General features: G+C 57.1%; 2 protein-coding genes across 4 annotated transcripts, besides 6 other annotated features; both read right to left on the bottom strand.

The window, feature by feature from the left end:
* Positions 1-10: 10 nt before the first annotated feature.
* Positions 11-3,981, bottom strand: NRN1L (neuritin 1 like). 2 transcript variants are annotated; one of them, NM_001348682.2, is made up of 3 exons: positions 3,884-3,981; positions 3,012-3,144; positions 11-199 (listed from the first exon to the last, which is right to left on the bottom strand). In NM_001348682.2, exons 1-3 carry the CDS (start codon positions 3,960-3,962, stop codon positions 142-144), a joined length of 270 nt encoding a protein of 89 aa, NP_001335611.1. In that variant the 5' UTR covers positions 3,963-3,981; the 3' UTR covers positions 11-141. The 2 variants fall into 2 exon arrangements, with proteins under 2 accessions (NP_001335611.1, NP_940845.1); NM_198443.2 differs by lacking the exon at positions 11-199 and adding an exon at positions 2,498-2,892.
* Positions 3,387-3,894: an enhancer, noted in NCBI's record as "H3K4me1 hESC enhancer chr16:67918875-67919382 (GRCh37/hg19 assembly coordinates)". NCBI's record gives its function as "activates a minimal SCP1, AML or CMV promoter by ChIP-STARR-seq in primed H9 embryonic stem cells {active_cell/tissue: H9 hESC(primed)}" and the evidence as "EXISTENCE:reporter gene assay evidence [ECO:0000049][PMID:30033119]".
* Positions 3,895-4,404: an enhancer, noted in NCBI's record as "H3K4me1 hESC enhancer chr16:67918365-67918874 (GRCh37/hg19 assembly coordinates)". NCBI's record gives its function as "activates a minimal SCP1, AML or CMV promoter by ChIP-STARR-seq in primed H9 embryonic stem cells {active_cell/tissue: H9 hESC(primed)}" and the evidence as "EXISTENCE:reporter gene assay evidence [ECO:0000049][PMID:30033119]".
* EDC4 (enhancer of mRNA decapping 4) lies at positions 4,367-15,814 on the bottom strand. Of its 2 annotated transcripts, NM_014329.5 has the most exons (29): positions 15,523-15,814; positions 12,765-12,921; positions 12,267-12,378; positions 11,894-11,993; positions 11,460-11,649; positions 11,210-11,357; positions 11,021-11,125; positions 10,591-10,700; positions 10,423-10,506; positions 10,235-10,330; positions 10,027-10,129; positions 9,729-9,909; positions 9,557-9,629; positions 9,363-9,454; positions 9,092-9,279; positions 8,895-9,016; positions 8,650-8,803; positions 7,876-8,309; positions 7,686-7,790; positions 7,449-7,601; positions 7,333-7,369; positions 7,021-7,198; positions 6,757-6,912; positions 6,539-6,654; positions 6,272-6,437; positions 6,001-6,187; positions 5,689-5,908; positions 5,135-5,298; positions 4,367-4,910 (listed from the first exon to the last, which is right to left on the bottom strand). In NM_014329.5, the coding sequence occupies exons 1-29, from the start codon at positions 15,602-15,604 to the stop codon at positions 4,718-4,720; spliced, it is 4,206 nt and encodes a 1,401-aa protein (NP_055144.3). In that variant the 5' UTR covers positions 15,605-15,814; the 3' UTR covers positions 4,367-4,717. The 2 variants fall into 2 exon arrangements, with proteins under 2 accessions (NP_055144.3, NP_001414274.1); NM_001427345.1 differs by having other exon boundaries at positions 6,757-7,198.
* Positions 4,710-4,889: an enhancer, noted in NCBI's record as "active region_10992". NCBI's record gives its function as "activates an Ori minimal core promoter by ATAC-STARR-seq in GM12878 lymphoblastoid cells {active_cell/tissue: GM12878}" and the evidence as "EXISTENCE:reporter gene assay evidence [ECO:0000049][PMID:35858748]".
* Positions 15,098-15,598: an enhancer, noted in NCBI's record as "H3K27ac hESC enhancer chr16:67907171-67907671 (GRCh37/hg19 assembly coordinates)". NCBI's record gives its function as "activates a minimal SCP1, AML or CMV promoter by ChIP-STARR-seq in primed H9 embryonic stem cells {active_cell/tissue: H9 hESC(primed)}" and the evidence as "EXISTENCE:reporter gene assay evidence [ECO:0000049][PMID:30033119]".
* Positions 15,098-15,701: a biological region, named in NCBI's record as "H3K27ac hESC enhancer GRCh37_chr16:67907171-67907671".
* Positions 15,492-15,701: a silencer, noted in NCBI's record as "silent region_7630". NCBI's record gives its function as "represses an Ori minimal core promoter by ATAC-STARR-seq in GM12878 lymphoblastoid cells {active_cell/tissue: GM12878}" and the evidence as "EXISTENCE:reporter gene assay evidence [ECO:0000049][PMID:35858748]".
* Positions 15,815-16,249: the final 435 nt, after the last annotated feature.

The following is a 16,249-nucleotide window of genomic DNA, read 5'->3' as shown; positions in this document are numbered from 1 at the left end:
AACACTCCTGTTTTACAGACATTCAGCGCATTAATTAACAAATATTTATTGAACCCTTACTATGTGCTGGTCTGGGCTCTGGAGAAGAGCAGGAGGGAGGTCCTTAGGTGAAGAGATATATTAATGCAGAGGGGACTGGGCTCAGGACATCCATCCCCCAGGCTCTCTCAGAACAATAAGGTACTCCTTGTCCACGGTGCTGCAAATGTGAGAAACACCATCACCATGATGCTCTGGCCTGGGCAGCTGTGCCCAGGGCCCAGCCAGCTTGGCTATCAGCCCACCCCTCTCCTCCAGCTCTAGGATAAAACACACAAAGCCCTTAAGCCCCTAGCCAGAGAGCAGATTCTTTCCCCCCTCCCCAAGCCCCGCTCTATTCCATGGAAAAGTAGGGACTTAGAGAGCAAAAACCAGGGGAAAAGTAGGCCACAGCAGGAGGATGGTAATCTCCCTGACGGCCAGCCAGAACAGCCAGGCCCCTGCTCCTAGCCATCCAAGACCAGCTCTGGAAGACTTCTGGGGTATACAGCCCCAGCACCATCCTTCCCAGCAGTATGCCCAGAGTAAAGGTGCCACCCCAAGATGACACACCTCCACAGTGGGGTCATTCTCAGTCCAAGCTCTTGCTTACTGTAGCACTACCCATGCTGGACTTAGGAGTTCTATCTTTCATTCCACACCCTCCCACAAGTGCACCCTTTATATCCAGCCCTAGGTTGGATGCTAGAGACACAACGAGGATTCTGACAAAAAGGACTTCCTGCCCTTGGGGAATCCACAGTGGGGAATTCTGACCTGTACCTAGACAATAACAAGCTAGTGCTATCAGTACTGAGGCAGAAGGGAATCCAGGAGCTGTGTGGACCTAGAGGAGCCTTCTGATTCAGCTTGTAGTCAGGGTTAGGGAATAGTTCCTAGAGGAGGTGATACTGCAAGATTGAGCCACTATGCCTGGCTGAGTTTTTCAATTTAGAAAGTAAAGAATAGGCCGGGCGCGGTGGCTCACGCCTGTAATCCCAACACTGGGAGGCCGAGGCGGGTGGATCATGAGGTCAGGAGATCGAGACCATCCTTGCTAACACAGTGAAACCCCGTCTACTAAAAATACAAAAAAAATTAGCCAGGCGTGGTGGCGGGCGCCTGTAGTCCAAGCTACTCGGAAGGCTGAGGCAGGAGAATGGTGTGAACCCGGGAGGCGGAACTTGCAGTGAGCAGAGATCGCGCCATTGCACTCTAGCCTGGGCGACTGAGGGAGACTCTGTCTCAAAAAAAAAAAAAAAAGAAAGTAAAGAATAAGGCCAAACATGGTGGCTCACACCTGCAATCCCAGCACTTTGGAAGGCCGCGGGGGTCAGATCACCTGAGGTTAGGAGTTCGAGACCAGCCTGGCCAACATGGCAAACCCATCTCTACTAAAAATATAAAATTAGTCGGGCATGGTGGCGGGCACCTGTAATCCCAGCTACTAGGGAGGCTGAGGCAGGAGAATTGCTTGAACCCGGGAGGCAGAGGTTGCAGTGAGCCGAGATTGTGCCACTGCATTCCAGCCTGGGTGACAAGAAAAAAAAAAAAAGTAAAGAATAAAGTGGAGGGAGTGATAATAGAAGTCAATGAGGAGACTATGGCAGTGCCTCTGTAAACCGTGGGGTAATGGCTTGGAATAGGATCCTGGCGGTGGTGGGAGAAGGCTGATCAGAAGAGGGTCCTACCCCCAGAAGGCTTTCTCCTTCCTCAGATTCCTCTGCCTAGCTGATTTTGCTCTTCCTTTCCACCGGTATGAAGAGGGGCTCCTCGCACACCACATGCTCTTGTTCCACGGCTTCCAGAAAGCCTTCTGCAATTGTTTTGACTACACACTGCCTACCTCTTCTCAAAGAACAAGCTTGTGGAGAGCAGAGGCCAGAGGAACCCTTATGGTGACTCCAGTTTTTGCCACTTCAGGTCACATCAGGGGCTTGAATGTGGACTTCAACAAAGGCTCCCCACCTTCTAGAACAGGCCTCCCTCAGATAGACCAGAAAACCAGAGGAAGGGACTGAGCACATAGTCTGTGCTATGCCTTGAAGGCTGAGGTGACAGGCAGAGAGAGGAGGAGGTGAAATGGTCAGGAGCCCAGAGGCTGGGGAGGGGGTGGAGCTGAGATCAAGGGCACTTCACCAGCTCACCTGGCCCCCAGGGGCCAGGATAGAAGGGGTAGGCAGTGCTAGGAGTGCAGGGCTGAGACCCCACCCTCCCGATCTCAACCCGCACAGGAAGGTAGAGGAAGACTGTGCATTCTGGCAGATCTCCAGTCTCCACTGGAGGAGCTCTTGGGGCCTGCATGAAATGGAAAGCTTTGCGCTGCCACTGGGAAATGAGTGTTTGTAAGGAGGAAGATTGAGGGCCCCTGTGGTGGCCCTCAGCCCCGCCCATTCCATCCAAGCAAAGGATCAGTTTCTAGGAGTCCCTGGCCCCAGCCGCAAGCAAGGCCACAGCCAGGAGAAAGGAAGGAGCTTACTACAAATATAAATACCTTTAATGAAAAGCCCTGCTGCGCTCTGCAGAGCCTGGACAACCACCGCCAGAGCAGGGCTGGAGGTACGGGCGCTGCTACCCAACCCAACAAGCTAGGCCAGAGGCCTCAGGAGGTAGGCCAGAGCCAGAGCAGCCGCCAGCAGTGGGGGCGCAGGGGCCATGGGGAGTGCAGGCGCTGTAGCCCGCAGCGTCTCCTGGTTGGTTTCGGAGCCTGTGCCGCGCTCCCGAACATGCACCGGGGCACCGCACAGAGTGTGCAAGTTATTCGGACGGGGGGCCTGGCGAGCTTCTTGCTGTAGTGATTCCCACACTGCAGCTGCCTCCTCCGGACAGCCTGACAGGACCTGAGAGGCACAGGCATGGAAGTCATTCCAAGACCTGTTAAGGGAGTGGGATTAGGGGGATTAGGTGAGGCAAGGAGACTTTAGCTTGGGAAATAAAAGGTTCAGTCCCCAATGGTGGCACAGGTTGGGCCACTGCCTCACACCCGCCGGTACCTGCAGATGGTCTCCAGCTCGCCTCCGCGGCCCATGCTGTCCCCCAAGCGGATGAGACACTCGGCGAAGCCCTGGTATATGGTGTCACATCGGTTTGGGCCCGCTGCAGCTGCTGCCAGGGGAGGTAAAAGGACTAGAAGTGGGGCGGGGGTGGGGTGGGGAAGGAATGGTAGATAGGATGAGCCAGGCTCATCCCCCAGCCCCCAGGGGCTTGTTTACCTGGGAGCACTCTGGGGATGTGACTCAGCGGAAAAAGGGTGCCCCAGGGAACTAAAGGGCAAGTCTGGGGATTACCTACCCAGGCCCCCTTCAAGGTAGGACCCAGACTGGGATTTGTACAGGGGAAGGGGGTGTTGTGTACCCCAGGTCAGCTCTTCCTTTGAGCTTCTGGGGCCGCAGGTGGGGTGACAAGGGTCCATGTAAAGGAGTCAGGACAGGGTGGAGGGGAGGGAGGTCCAGAGGCCCCGGACCAGGAGCAGGTGCATCTCTCTGCGGTTTAGACAAGCTTTGCTTGGCCCTCCGAACTCTCTCTAAAGATAAATATTTTTGGAGAGACAAGGCAGGATGCAGAGGTATTGGGATCCAGGCCAGACCCTCAGAGAGGACTTAGGGATCCTACGACTGGTCTATAAGTCCTGCCATTGGCATGTCTCCCTTTATCATAAGAGGGGATGCAAATTTTGGAGTCCTTCTCCCATAACTGGGGCTGTTTGTGCCTCTCACTTTCTGTCCTGAAGTCACCAGCACACCTTCCTGGAGCCCTTACAACTCTTCTCCACCCTGGCACCCAGCGTTCCCACACACCCTATGCCCAGCCTGGCTTGGCTGGGCGAGAAGGGGGTGTGGCCCGGGCCCCGGATGCCCGCACTCACCGAGGGGCAGCAACAGCAACGGCCTCAGGGCATGGGGTGGTTGCCGGCAGCAGCAGCGGCGGCGGCAGCAGCGCATCATCCCTGGCTGAGAGCCTAGTGCAGGAGCTAGCTGCTTGGAGTGCAGCCCGTCCGCCCAGCCCCCGGAGGGAGGGACGGTGATTGGATGGGAGCTGGGGGTGGGGCTCCGAACCCAGCCGGCGGCTCCGCCTCCAACACCCAGATGGGAAAAGGAGCGAGGAGACCTCAGAGAGCAGAAATTCGCAGGAGCACAGGCTGGTGCTGGGCAGGCCCCTGGACCCTCACTCCATAGAAGGAGGGAGAAGGGAGATCTGGGAAGGCAGTTGGAGCAGATGAGTGGGTAACCCGGCCCCTTGGCTGGGTTGGCCTCGACAGAGCTCCACGGGCAAGAGATGGGCAGAGAACGAACAGACGGCAGTTATGAGAGTCACACCAAAGACAAACCAAAAGCACACACATACTCCATTTTATTCCAAAAGCATTTAATTGAATTTCTCAATGTTTTTCAAAAACAAAAAGATCCAAATTAGAGGTAAAAAGGAACATGGAAAATTCCACTCAAGTGGTGTCACGATCTCAGGGTCATGCTCCAGGCATGGCAGAACCCAAGCAGGCGCAATACCTGCCCTGGGCCCAGCTAAACCTTCTGACTACCACACGCTGTAGACCACGGCCAGTGCTCCCTGCTCCCTGACCCCCAAACACCCCAGAGATGGGGGCCTGAGCAGGTAAAGGCCAGCCGTGACCCTGCCCCAGCCTAGGCCTGTCTGCTGGCCTTCAGTGCCATCCCACCCCTGGGCAAGGCAGGCTTAGCAGCTAAGGGAGGCTGGGGGTCACGAGGCCATGCAGCATGAGGCTGAGACGCCGAGCTGCTTTGCCAAGTGAGTTGTGTGGCTCAGCCTGCAGGAACTGAAAAAGCTTTTGGCGCACCTGGGCCATAACGGAGCCCATGTGGTCCCGAGTGATGGGGTCACTGTGGTCCAGGTGCATCACGGCCTCTTCCAGGTAGCTGGGGATGGGGGGGAAAGGACAGGCTACAGGTGGGTGCCAGCAGACGGGAGCGCCCCCTGGTGGCACCGAGGCCCAGAGGGAACCCTCTGGGTGAAGGCAGAAAGGACTGGTGGAGAAAATTAGGGAGAGGATTCAGGCAGAAGTGGGCGTCAGCTTCAAACTGCTCCCTCCCACTGCCCCACTCCCCAGCTCATCTCCCCATCCCTGGCTGTCCCCACTTACCTGAGCTTGAGGTCAGTTCGAGTGCCAAGGTCAGATGCCAGCTGCTGGATGAGGGAAAGGAGCACAGGCTGGGAGAGCGGGCAGGGTGGCTGCCCAAAAACCTGGGCTGGGTCCACAGTTTCACACACATACAGCACCAGGTTCAGGTCAGCAGCTGTCAGCGCCTGGAGGAGAAAAAAGCAGCAGTGTTTATAGCAAATATCAGGATGGAATGTCTGCTTGTCTGAACTGTGTGGCCTGGGGGAGGATGACCACAGGGTGGGCTAGTGAGAGCTCCAGAGGGACTCAGAGAGAGCCTGTAGGGCTGTGTAGTTACCCTAGGGGATTGGGAAATGGGTTCCTGAGAAGGGTAGTTGTAAAGCAAGGTGGGCTAGGTGGGAAGAAAGGGGTCCAGGAAGAGGAAGCAGCAGGGACAATGGCCTGGAGGCCAAAGGGAACCAAGAACAGTCTGCTGGGGCCAGAAGGTGCAAAGGTGGTGGGTGGAGTAGAATGTATGGTATGTGGGCCTTGTCAAGAGACACGTGACCCTTAGCAGGGCCTAATGCCTATCGTACCTGCTGGAAGGCCTGATTGAGGTGGCCCTGCTGCAGCAGCTGCAGGATATGGGCTTGCTGGGCCTGGCAGTCAAGGTGGGCAGAGGGGACAGGTGTGCCAGCAGCTGAGCGCATGGCCTGCATGATGCTGGAGGTGACGGCGGCCTGCTGCTCCTTGAGCGCCACACTCACCTCACCCTTAACGATGCGCTGTACCTGTGCTAAAATGGACTCCTGCAGGCTGCAAAGGGAAGTGAGTGAGGTGAAGTGGACAGGGAGCCTAGTCTGGCCTTTCTCAAGCCCACCACCTTGCCCAGTACTCTGCCCACACACCTGCCCACAGCCACATGCAGCTGGTGCTGCACCTCAGCACGAACACTGCCGGCCACGGTGGCTGCCATCTGCTCAGTGGCACTCTGCAGTGTGCTGACCAGGCCCCGCAGCTGGGCTAGCACAGGCTCCCTGGCCTCCTGTTCCCGTGCCTTCCGGCTCTTCATGTGGCTTTCTAGCTGCTGCAAGTCTGAGGGGTGACCACAGGGACTATAAGAGGAACAGTAGGAAAGAGGATAACCCCTCCCACCTTGGGCCATATGACCCCACTCACATTCCTGTGTCCCCAGCCGGAAGCTATCATTGATTTGCTGGAACATGGCCTGGCAGCTCTTCTCAAAGGCCGGCAGCACCACACTCTGGAAGGCTTCCCGGTAGGCAGCCTGCATCGGCCCTTGTAATGTGTCTGCAGCTGCTCGGGCGATGGCATCAGTCAAGTTCTGGGGTTAGAGGGAGGGGCCAAGTTGAAAGCCTGAGCCCAGCCTGGCCTGACTAGGCCCAGGAACCACCACCTCCACCCACATCTTGGGCCCTATAGCACCTTGGACTTGAGCAGCTTGGAGATGTTCTCTTTCATGCTGCCCTCCACAGCTGTGAGCTTGGTAGCCACTGAGTTGCTCAGTTGGCCTGCCATAGGCTCCAGACTCCTTGAGACACCTGGGAGAGGGGAAGAGGGTGAGGTGGAGCCATGAGAAGAAGCTTGACAGGTACCCCACTCCCACCTGAACCACCCAAAGGGAGTCTGCATGCAAAACTCACATGGAGGGACTGTCTTCTTGATCTCATCCCGTATGCTGCGCTCTAGCCGCCCAGCTACAGCTGACGACAGTGCTTGGGACAACTGTTGTGTCAGCTGCTCCTGCAGCTGCCCTCCCCGCTGCTGCCCCTCAGCCAGTGCTCGCTCCAGCCGCCGCTCTGCGCCATAGCTAAGGAACGGGCCTGGAGCAGGTCGTGTACTCCTTCCCAGGCCAAGAATGCTGCCCCCGTCCCTATGCCATGTTGTGCTACCAGTCTCAAGGATACGTTCCTGCTCGTGCCGAGTCTCAAGGGCACGTTCTACGTGGCCTGTGACTGTGCTCTGCAGGCCTTCGAGTTGGGTACACAGACGCTGCAGCAGCTCTTCCTGGCTGTGCCGCAGCTCTGCCAGCTCTCTCTGCTGTTGCCAAATTAGTGCTGGCCAGTCCTCAGGGGGCTCTGCCACCTGTCAGTAGCACTGACAGTCACACGATGCCTGCCCCACCTATTCCCACACACCAGACCAGGGAATGGCCCAGAGCCCTTCTCCACCCGCCCAGGGTGAAGTTCCACAAGTACAAAGTGGGCTCATTCACTTACCTGGTGCTCTGTGAGCCGGGATCCCATGGCTGCATCCCTGCCATAGGCGAGAAGCACCTCAGGCTATGTGAGGCAGCCTAGAGACCACCCTCTCCCTCCCTAGGATTTCTCCCTACCCATCATCCTTCTTGCTTTTCCTCTTGAGCTTGGGTGAGGTTCGAGGGGATCCCTTGGTCTTCCAGTCCTTGGCAGGCAGCCGTGGAGCAGGAACTTTGGTGCCAAAGCCTCCTGAAGCAGAGGCAAGGCTGGCCACCTCATCATCATGGTCACTGTGGGAAGGGGAAGGAGGAGTAAGCCCCTGCCCACTTGCTGCCCATCCCCCCATGAGGGCAATGGTGTAGAGTGGCTCCCACCTTTGCTCAGCACTGGCATCCTGGCTGTCACGTTGCTGCAGCAGGTGATATGGTGGTCGGTGGAAGGCCAGGCTCTTGTGCTTTTCCTGAAGGCCATTCCTGGGGCTGGGAGGACAGGCCAACTTAGCCATGGATGAATCTATCTGAAGCCCCTCCTGCTAGCACACTTTTCCCCTCCCAAGCTCCTCACCTTTCTGCCAGGGTGCTGCAGGTCTCACGAGTAATGTCAGGTGCTGTGGGCCAAACCTGACTGTCAGGAGTCGAGGCCTCCTGGGTCAAGGCTGCCTCCAGGAGGGAGGGGGTATTATGCCGATCTCCATCCCCAGGGCCTCCATCAAGCCCGAGCTGGGGGCCGAGCTCGGGCCCTGGCCGGGGCCGTGGGGACAGCAGGTGCAGTGCCGAGGCGGCTGAAGCCATACTGTCTGGCTCAAGGCCCTCTGGTGCAGAGGAGCCAAAACCACGGGACAGGGCCTCAGATGCAATCTCAGGGATGTCCTGGGACAGGGCAGTGGAAGCTGAGGAGATGACATCAGGGGAACGAGTGCGGCTAGGGGAGGCTTGGGGTAGCCCCAGGGGCTCCACTTCCTGCAGCTCCAGGGACAGTGCAGAGGTGGCAGTAGGCACCTGAGGTGGGCCAAAGATGGGGGCTTAAGTGACAGGAAGTGAGGCAGAGATGGGGGGCACAGAGACGAGGCATTAGTATTAGCAGTAATGAGAGACAGGGCAGCAGGGAAGTGGGGATACAGGTCAAAAACGAGGCCACAGCCAAGAAGAGGAGGTGGGGACAGGGAGGCTGAGGAGACACCCACCAGGAAACACAGGAGGGTGAAATGACCTCAGGGAAACACGGACCATGTCGGGTAGAGCAGGATCAGCAGCAGGGGGCTGGGAGGAGCCCACCACCCACCTTCCCTGCTGCTGCCCACCTGCTCCCCACACTTCACACACACACCCAGTCACACACCTGGCCCGGCCCCTTGGGAGTCAGTTTGTCAGCTGGGGCTGGGAGCAGGCCAGGCAGGAGGCCACGCGGGCTTGCCTGAAGGCTGCCACTGCTGCTCATTGTCAGGCTGCCATCCAGCTGCAGCTTGGGGCTCAAGGTCAGCTCCTCAGGTGGCCTGGTGGGGGAAGGCTGAGGTGTCAGCAGCCAGAGCTTGGCATCATCTGGTACCAGCCCCTGCCATCCTCCATCTCTGACCCTTGCCTCACCTGGTCAAGGAGGGGTCCACAGCTGAGGTGCTGCTCATGGCAGACACAGCTGTAAGGGAGCTGCTGCTACTGCTGCTGCTGCTGCTGCTACCGCTGCTGCTGCTGCTGGGAGAGGCAGTGATCTGGGGAGATGCAGGAAATAAGACCTGTGGCCTGTGGCTGAGGCATTCCCAGGTCCCCCTACCCTGGGAGAGTACCTGCTGCAAGGAGGCGCTAGGTGTCATGAAGGCGTCAGGTGTCATCAACTTGGGCTTGGTCTCACTGCTCAGACTGAGGAAGTCGGCAGGTGCAGGCAGCTCCACGATTCGTCGGAGGTCAGGCTGGGAGCCGTGAGCGGCTGACCCCAGGCCCTCAGAGCCCAGTTCGGGCCGAGACTCTCCAAATGCTGCAGGGCAAGTTGCCACTTGAGTTAGATCTCAGACCCTGGTCAGTCCAACTTACCCTACCTCCCTCTCACGCCCTACTCACTGAAGTCCTCGTGGGCAGTGTGGGTGGGCAGTGGGGCCACCACATCAGGGTTCAGCTGTGGCTGGAAGCGGATCTGCACATCTTGCAGTGCCCTGCAGGAAAAGAAGGGGGAGAATAAAGTGCTCCAAGGGCAAGGGTCAGTAGAGTGGAGACAGACACAGACAGGACACTGGCGGGCCTCCCCACTCACTCACTTAGTATGCACACAAAAGAGCTTGATGAGCACACCGGCCGCAGACTCCATGGCACCGGCTCCATGGGTACCATCTGAAAGGACAGTGTGGATGATGAAGCCCCTGGCCCTCTCTGTGCCTCCACAACCCCCTAGATATATGGACACATAGCTCTGACCCTGAGGCAGCTCACCAGCACCCAGGCTGTCATTTTCCTCTTCGGCAGGCAGCACCTCAGTGTGCCGTAGCCGGCAGCGACTCACAACCTGGATACCAAAGCTCAGCACAGGGTGGGTGAGCAGGAACTCCGAGATGGAGCTGAAGCAGGCGTGGCCCTCCTCCTGGTTTTGCAGCAGCTCCATCACATAGAGGACCTGCACAGGCAGAACGTTCCTAGCTGAGCTCAGAGGCTAAGGGCTGTGATGCGCCACCTGCCCCCCGGCCTTCCTCTATAATCCCAACTCTGCCCAGGGTACCCCATGGCAGCCTACCTTCCGTTGCACATCGCTGAGAATCAGGTATTCTGCTGAGAGGTCCAAGCAAACCTTGAGGCTAGGGGGCACACTCACTGAGCTGAAGATATCTGGGGAGAAGCTAGAGAGCCACAAAGCAGAGTGAATGAGCCTGAGAACTGAAGGAAGCTACATTCCCAACCCTGCCGCCCCTGCCCAGTCCCCCAGCCTTCCAGCCACTGCTTACCGAATAGTCTGCAGGCAGGTCCAGGATACTGTACACCACATCTTTAACTCTCGGTTCTGGTCAGCACCAGTAATAAGGAACCTCCAGAAAGGGACACTGCAAGGCAACAAGGCAGTGAGTGACTGGCTGGGGCCCCTGCTGGGAGCCATGGTCCAGCCCACCACCCACTAGGCTGCCCACTCACTCACTCAGGGTCTTGTTTCTTATGGTTGTCACAGAACAGGAGGCAGGAGAGGGGCCGCCCATCATGAGGTTTCCACTCGTGCAGACACCTGCAGGTAGGCAGATGAGGGGCCTGAGTGAGTGGTCGGGTGGGCTACCTCGGGAGGATCCTGGTCCCTGAGGCCCTGCCTTACCTTGGCTCATCTTGCCCCTCAATGTAGATCTGCCAGAACTTGACATAGCCATCGTGGCTCGCAGTAGCCAGCACAGTCCCATCAGGAGAGAGGGCTCCTTCACTGAGGCACTAGAAAGAACCCAAAAAGCTTTGCTGACTAGAGGTGAGAACAAGCCCCTCCCAAGTGAGGATGGCAATGAGCTGGGCTGACTCACGGTGGGACTGGCATGCTTGTGTGACTGACTAAATGAACAGGGTTCCTAGAGAAGGCCAGACCTGCAGGGTGCTGCTAGATAAGGAGAAAGCTGCACAGGTGAGGGCCAATTTGAGCTCAGAGTCCCCACGGGCAGAATGCTAGTAAAGCTGCCCGGGCAGCTGTGGATATAGGGAACAGAAGATGGATATGAGGAAGTGGGGAGGGCAGGGGAGGCAGGCAGTCACAGGCTTACCGTGCTATGACCTTTTACCACAATGAAGCCCTGCTTGATCTGGCTAACATCCACAGGCCAGGTACTGTGGCTGGAGCGGAGCATGTCCAGGTCCCACACCTCAGCCTGGAAGGCACAGGGAGGTGAGTGTGCAGCCCAACCCCACACTATGGCTTCTCTGGCGCCTCTTCGCCATGTCAGCCCCCTCACCCGGTCTTCATGCAGCAGGGCCACTGTTGGGCTGCTCTCCTCACAGCAGTCTTCGCTCTCCTCAGGGATGAAGGGGCACCAGATGATCCTGCGAAAGTGGTTCAGTGGCGTGCCCTCTGGCTGCCGAATATGGACCAAGATCTCTTCTCTGAGCAGGGTGTTAAGGGCTAGATAGATGAATGAAGAGGCGTGACACCCCAGCTCCGCCCACCCTTCTTCAGTCCCACCACCCACAGGAAGGAATGGATACTGAATTTTGCCATTAACCAGAGCCAAGCGCCACACGAACAGGTTGCCTGCCTCATCCAGGCAGGCCAGCTGTGGAGAGTTGAGGTGCGCGAAAGCCAGATCAGCCACACTGCCTGTGAAGCCCTTGAGCAAGGTCCGCTCCGAAGTGCTGACGCTGATCACCCGCACCATGGCAGAGCCATTGTTGGCAGCTGGAATCAGGAGAGCAGTGGACCATGAATACGTATCCAGGCTCAGGCAGTAGCAGAGAAGCGCTGCCCCACCTGTCTCCCTGCCACCACCAGAGTCTCAAGCTTGGTTTTCCCACCCAGCTCCCCAAGAGGCAGCATGGACAAACCTTCCATTGTACCCCTAAGGCCTGAGTGGCCTGATGTTGGAACTGGCTCTGTGGGACATCCAGCAGAACATTCCTTCCTCCTCACTGTCTTTACTCACCCCGAATGGCATAGGCCAAGAAGGAGTTAGACACAGCAATCAGGTTGCCATAGTAGTACTTCTGTTCCCAGTCATACTTGGCGACAGGCTGAATTTTCACCTGAGAACCCAGGGTGAGAAAAGTCATGGAACTTCCCCAGAGCCTAGGTGGCCCCCAACATCCCTGGGGATGGGAGAGGACACAGATGCAAGTCCAGCTACCCACTGTTACCTCCTGGAGCCAGACTCCCACAGAGGCTTGGCACCCAGCCCTGGCTTCCTGAAACTGGGAAAGTGTCAAGGTGGTCCCCATAGGAACTGGCAGCATGAGGGAGACTGGAAAGGCTGGGTGTGCCCCCGTACATTATATATGCCACAGCATCCCAGTACCTACCTTGTTGCTTCCCCGGGCCTTGCTTGAAATGCTAGAGTCACTGCTAGCCACAATCTCCACCTCCTTGGCCAAAATCCCAATGCAGGTGGAGCTATCATCTCCTGAGAGACAGCTGTGGGGAAGAGTGCAAAAACTTTGCCTCTTGTTCACCCAAAGGCTCAGCGGGCAGGGTTGGGAGGAAGCGAGGACATAGCCAGACTGGGGAAGGTATCTAGTCCAATGTCAGCTTCGCCTGGTCCACTGGCCCCAGACCCACAGCTCTGCTTGCTCATCTCCTTCCTTGGGAATGAGCCTACTTTCATTCTAAACCAGGTATCCAGGCCAAACCCCTGAGCTTGTCCTTGCCTCTCATCCTAGTGCAAGCTCAAGCTCCACCCCAGGTCATCTAGAGAGGAAGCAGCAGAGGCTGCTGGCCCCGCTCACTCCCCATCTCATGCCTTCAGCTAGCAGACACCCCAAATACACCATCACCACTATTGTCGTCTCCTAGGTACTCACATGACCTGCTTCTCTTGCAGGTTAATGGGTGGCATGGTCCGAAGACCAGTCTTGTTTGCTGAGGTACTATCACCTGAGCAGAGCGGGTCTGGGACCAGAAGTCCATTGAGGTCCCCATTGTAGGCACTGGATGGCCGTGGGCTCTCTGCACTGGGGCCTGGGGACAAAGAGGGTCATTCTGATAAGGTTGCTCGACCTGCCCACAAGCCTCTCCCCTTTCAGAGTTTCCTTCAAGAACTATGAGGTGCTCTAGGAACACTCAACTGAGCAAAGCATGTCCATGAGGAGGAGGGCCCTGTGTTCATCTCTCGTTCCATAAACACTGATGTAGGCAGGACCAAGGATGAGCATGAGGCTCTTCTACCTGGGGGAGGGGTACAAGCCATCAAGGACCCTTTGAGGGCAGTGAATACTCAGGTCTGGGTCACTACAGAAGAACTCTGTGGACTGAGTGAGGGCATAGGAGGGGTCAGGAAAGACTTTATACAGCAGTTAGTGTGACCAGAACACACAAACACAGGAAGGATGGAGTGAAAACAAAGCTACAGAGGCATCAGGTATGATGCCGTGGCACTTAGACTCTCCCTGTGGGCCATGAGAACCATAAAGAGTTTCAAAAGGGAAGGTGATGTGGTCAGTTCTGGCCAGTGGGAAGATTACTCTAAGATAGCATGCAGAATGGTTGAGAATCTGGGTGAGAGAGATCAAGGCCTAGACCAATGTAGTGTCAGAGTTTGGAGAGAAGATGGGCTCCTAAGGCATGGAAGGGCACTGGTAAGATGTGGAAGGGGCTGCCCCACACAGAAATGGCTCAGAAGAAGCTATCTTGGGCAAGTAAACACAGAAGGCAGGGACATAAAGGAGCTGGACCAAAAGGAGAGAAACTATGGGGCAGCGTGTGGAGTAAGGAAAGACAGCATTTCAGTTCTTTGCAACTGGCTGGGTTTCAAACACTCTCATAGGCTCAGACACCATTTCCAAAATCCCCAGGTGGCAAGGAGCCTAGGGCTCCACATTCAGAACATAGCAAGTTTCCAGTCACAACAGTCTTTGAATTATTTTGGCGCGATCTCGGCTCATGGCAACCTCTACCCCCTGGGTTCAAGGGATTCTCCTGCATCAGCCTCCCAAGTAGCTGGGATTACAGCTCACCTAATTTTTATATTTTTAGTAGAGATAAGGTTTCACCATGTTAAGAAACCATGTTGGCCAGGCTGGTCTCGAACTCCTGGCCTCAAGCAATCCACCCACCTCGGCCTCCCAAAGTGCTGGGATTACAGGTGTGAGCCACCGCGCCCAGTCCTCAATAGTCTGAGTTCTGACCTGGTCGTCCAGTGAGAGGAGACAAGAAAGAGCTGCTTGGCAAACAAGGGAATCAAGTGCCAATCAATAAACAAAGTAGTTATAAGGAAAGCCTCCAGGCCACTTCATTCAGATCAGAGCCACTTTAGCTGCTCAGGGACAAGCTGACAACTCTCCCTTCCATGAAGGGTACCATGAGGACAACCAAAAAGCAGGCTCAGGCTGTACATGGTTGGCCATGCCAGGCTCTACCAAATCTCTGCGGAGTCTAGTCTACAAAGCAGCTGAGCAGCAGGAGAGGTCCACGCCCAACTCATGAGTAAAGAGGGCACACACTCCAGGCCTGGGACAAAGGGCCGAGTGGTCTCAGGCAGCAGATGGATTTTCTGAAAGTAGGGGTTAGTTGAATCCACCCCTAGTGAGCACCAGTGCCTGCTTCCAGAAGCAGCCAGTCTGGGCCTCCCAGCAGGTGTAAGAACAAGATCTGAGGAAACACAATTCTCCACTGTACGCCCACACCATCATCACCGGCCACTTCAGAGATCCCTAAACCTGTCAGTAAACTAGTGCCTGCACACGTGCTATTTCCTCTTCCTAATAGGTGGCTTCTCCATAGGTGCCTTGGGTGCCTTTCCTGACACCCAAGCCCCTGTTCACATTACAAGACCTAGCCCAGTCTCCCCTCTCAGACCTGCACTCTGCACTCACCAGCCTCCACCCTTCCCACGCCCATCACAGTATCGAGACACTCCTTTCTTTCAATGACAACAGTATATTACAACCCTGTTAGCTGTGTCTTGGGGAATCTTTGGGGGCAAGACTAGTTCTGAGGTATCATTAAGAGCCAAAGCGAAATATGAATGAATGGGAACCAATTAGGGCTTGCAGATATTTGTAGCATAATTCAGTCAGGGTGGTGCGGTCTGTGATTTGCCTTCATCCCAGAAAGAACACGGAATTGAGACTGGACACCTTCCTCCTGGAAATCAGTTTCAGAACGGGAGGCCTGGAGTCTTTATTCCAGAGAGAAGGGCAAGTTATGGAGGGGGACCGGCAGCTCTTCAGCATCGCGCTTAAGCCTGGGCCCAGAATTCCATATACGGAGCCCAGACCAGGCCTCTGAACCATGGAGAAAGGGAAGAGGAGCTAGGCCAGTCCCAGGAACACTAGAGACCTCGGGGCCAGGAAACCAGAGGGCCCCAGCGGATTCAGAGAAGGCGCCTCACCTTCAACCGAGACGCTGAAGGACAAGGCAGAACAGCCTGAGGACAAGATAGGGAGGGGTCACACCCAGGGGTCTGCGCCCTTCGAGGGGCACAGTCAATCCCCGTCCACCCTTACCCGCCGGGAGGATCCAGAGCTAGTCCTAAGGGAGCTGTGGGCCCCAATGGCGGTTCAGACGCGCGCCGCCCTTTTGTCAGCTCGCCTGGGGCCCACCCCCGCAACCCCCGCTCACCGCCCGCGGGCCGGTCCAGCTTGAGGATGTCCCGCAGGTGCTGCGTGGCGTCCTCGATGTCGATGCTCGCGCAGGAGGCCATGGGCCCTGCGGCGGGCGCCCCGCCCGCACCGCGTTCGTTCCGCCGCCGCCGCGCACCACGCACCCTCGCTCACCCGCCACGGGGCGAGACAGCGGGACGCCGGTCACTACACAGTCCACCCGCAGTTCGCAAACCGCCACCCGCGCAGCGTCGCTGAGCCCCGCCAACCCCACCAACCGCCTCCACTTCCGGCACCCACGAGCCGAGGCTCCCGGAACCTGCCAGGGCCGGAGAAGAAAGGTTCCGGGCTGGGGGCGGAAGCCTAAACCCCTCCCGCAGCCAGTCCCCCTCGGCGGCCCCGCCCCTGTGTCCGCGAGGTCAGGAAAGTCCCACGGGGCTGAAGTAAGCGTCCACGCACTGGGCCACCTAAAGCCCTACTCGACTCAGAAGGCGCCAGGTCCCTGCCCACTCCCAGAGCATGGACTCCGATGGTCCTGGGACGGGGTCAACTTAGCCGCCCATGCTAAGGTCCCTCAGACCCCCAGAATATGCTGAATTGGCAGGTGCCTCAGGTTCCCTTTGGGAATGGGTCGGAATAACTCAAGGCCTGAGGCTACCCTCGAGGTCATAAAACTCAGGAATTGCAAGAGCAGGGGAGATGATCCCACTACAATGACCAGTCATTGTTCCCTACTGTCCCCCAGC

This window comes from Homo sapiens, chromosome 16 (genome assembly GCF_000001405.40).
Source record: "Homo sapiens chromosome 16, GRCh38.p14 Primary Assembly".
NCBI classification, from domain to species: domain Eukaryota; kingdom Metazoa; phylum Chordata; class Mammalia; order Primates; family Hominidae; genus Homo; species Homo sapiens.
This window is presented reverse-complemented; position numbering and strand designations above follow the sequence as displayed.

What these genes read in the sequence shown, in the direction of transcription:
- NRN1L (NM_198443.2), bottom strand. Translation starts at nt 3,962, where the DNA reads ATGATGCGCTGCTGCCGCCGCCGCTGCTGCTGCCGGCAACCACCCCAT. An exon ending in GTTGCTGTTGCTGCCCCTCG is followed by an intron (nt 3,145 to 3,883) that starts GTGAGTGCGGGC and finishes CCCCACTTCTAG; the next exon opens with TCCTTTTACCTCCCCTGGCA. An exon ending in GAGCTGGAGACCATCTGCAG is followed by an intron (nt 2,893 to 3,011) that starts GTACCGGCGGGT and finishes CTCCCTTAACAG; the next exon opens with GTCTTGGAATGACTTCCATG.
- EDC4 (NM_001427345.1), bottom strand. Translation starts at nt 15,604, where the DNA reads ATGGCCTCCTGCGCGAGCATCGACATCGAGGACGCCACGCAGCACCTG. An exon ending in CTGCAAGAGAAGCAGGTCAT is followed by an intron (nt 12,379 to 12,764) that starts GTGAGTACCTAG and finishes TCTTCCCCACAG; the next exon opens with CTGTCTCTCAGGAGATGATA. An exon ending in CATAAGAAACAAGACCCTGA is followed by an intron (nt 10,331 to 10,422) that starts GTGAGTGAGTGG and finishes GTTGCCTTGCAG; the next exon opens with TGTCCCTTTCTGGAGGTTCC.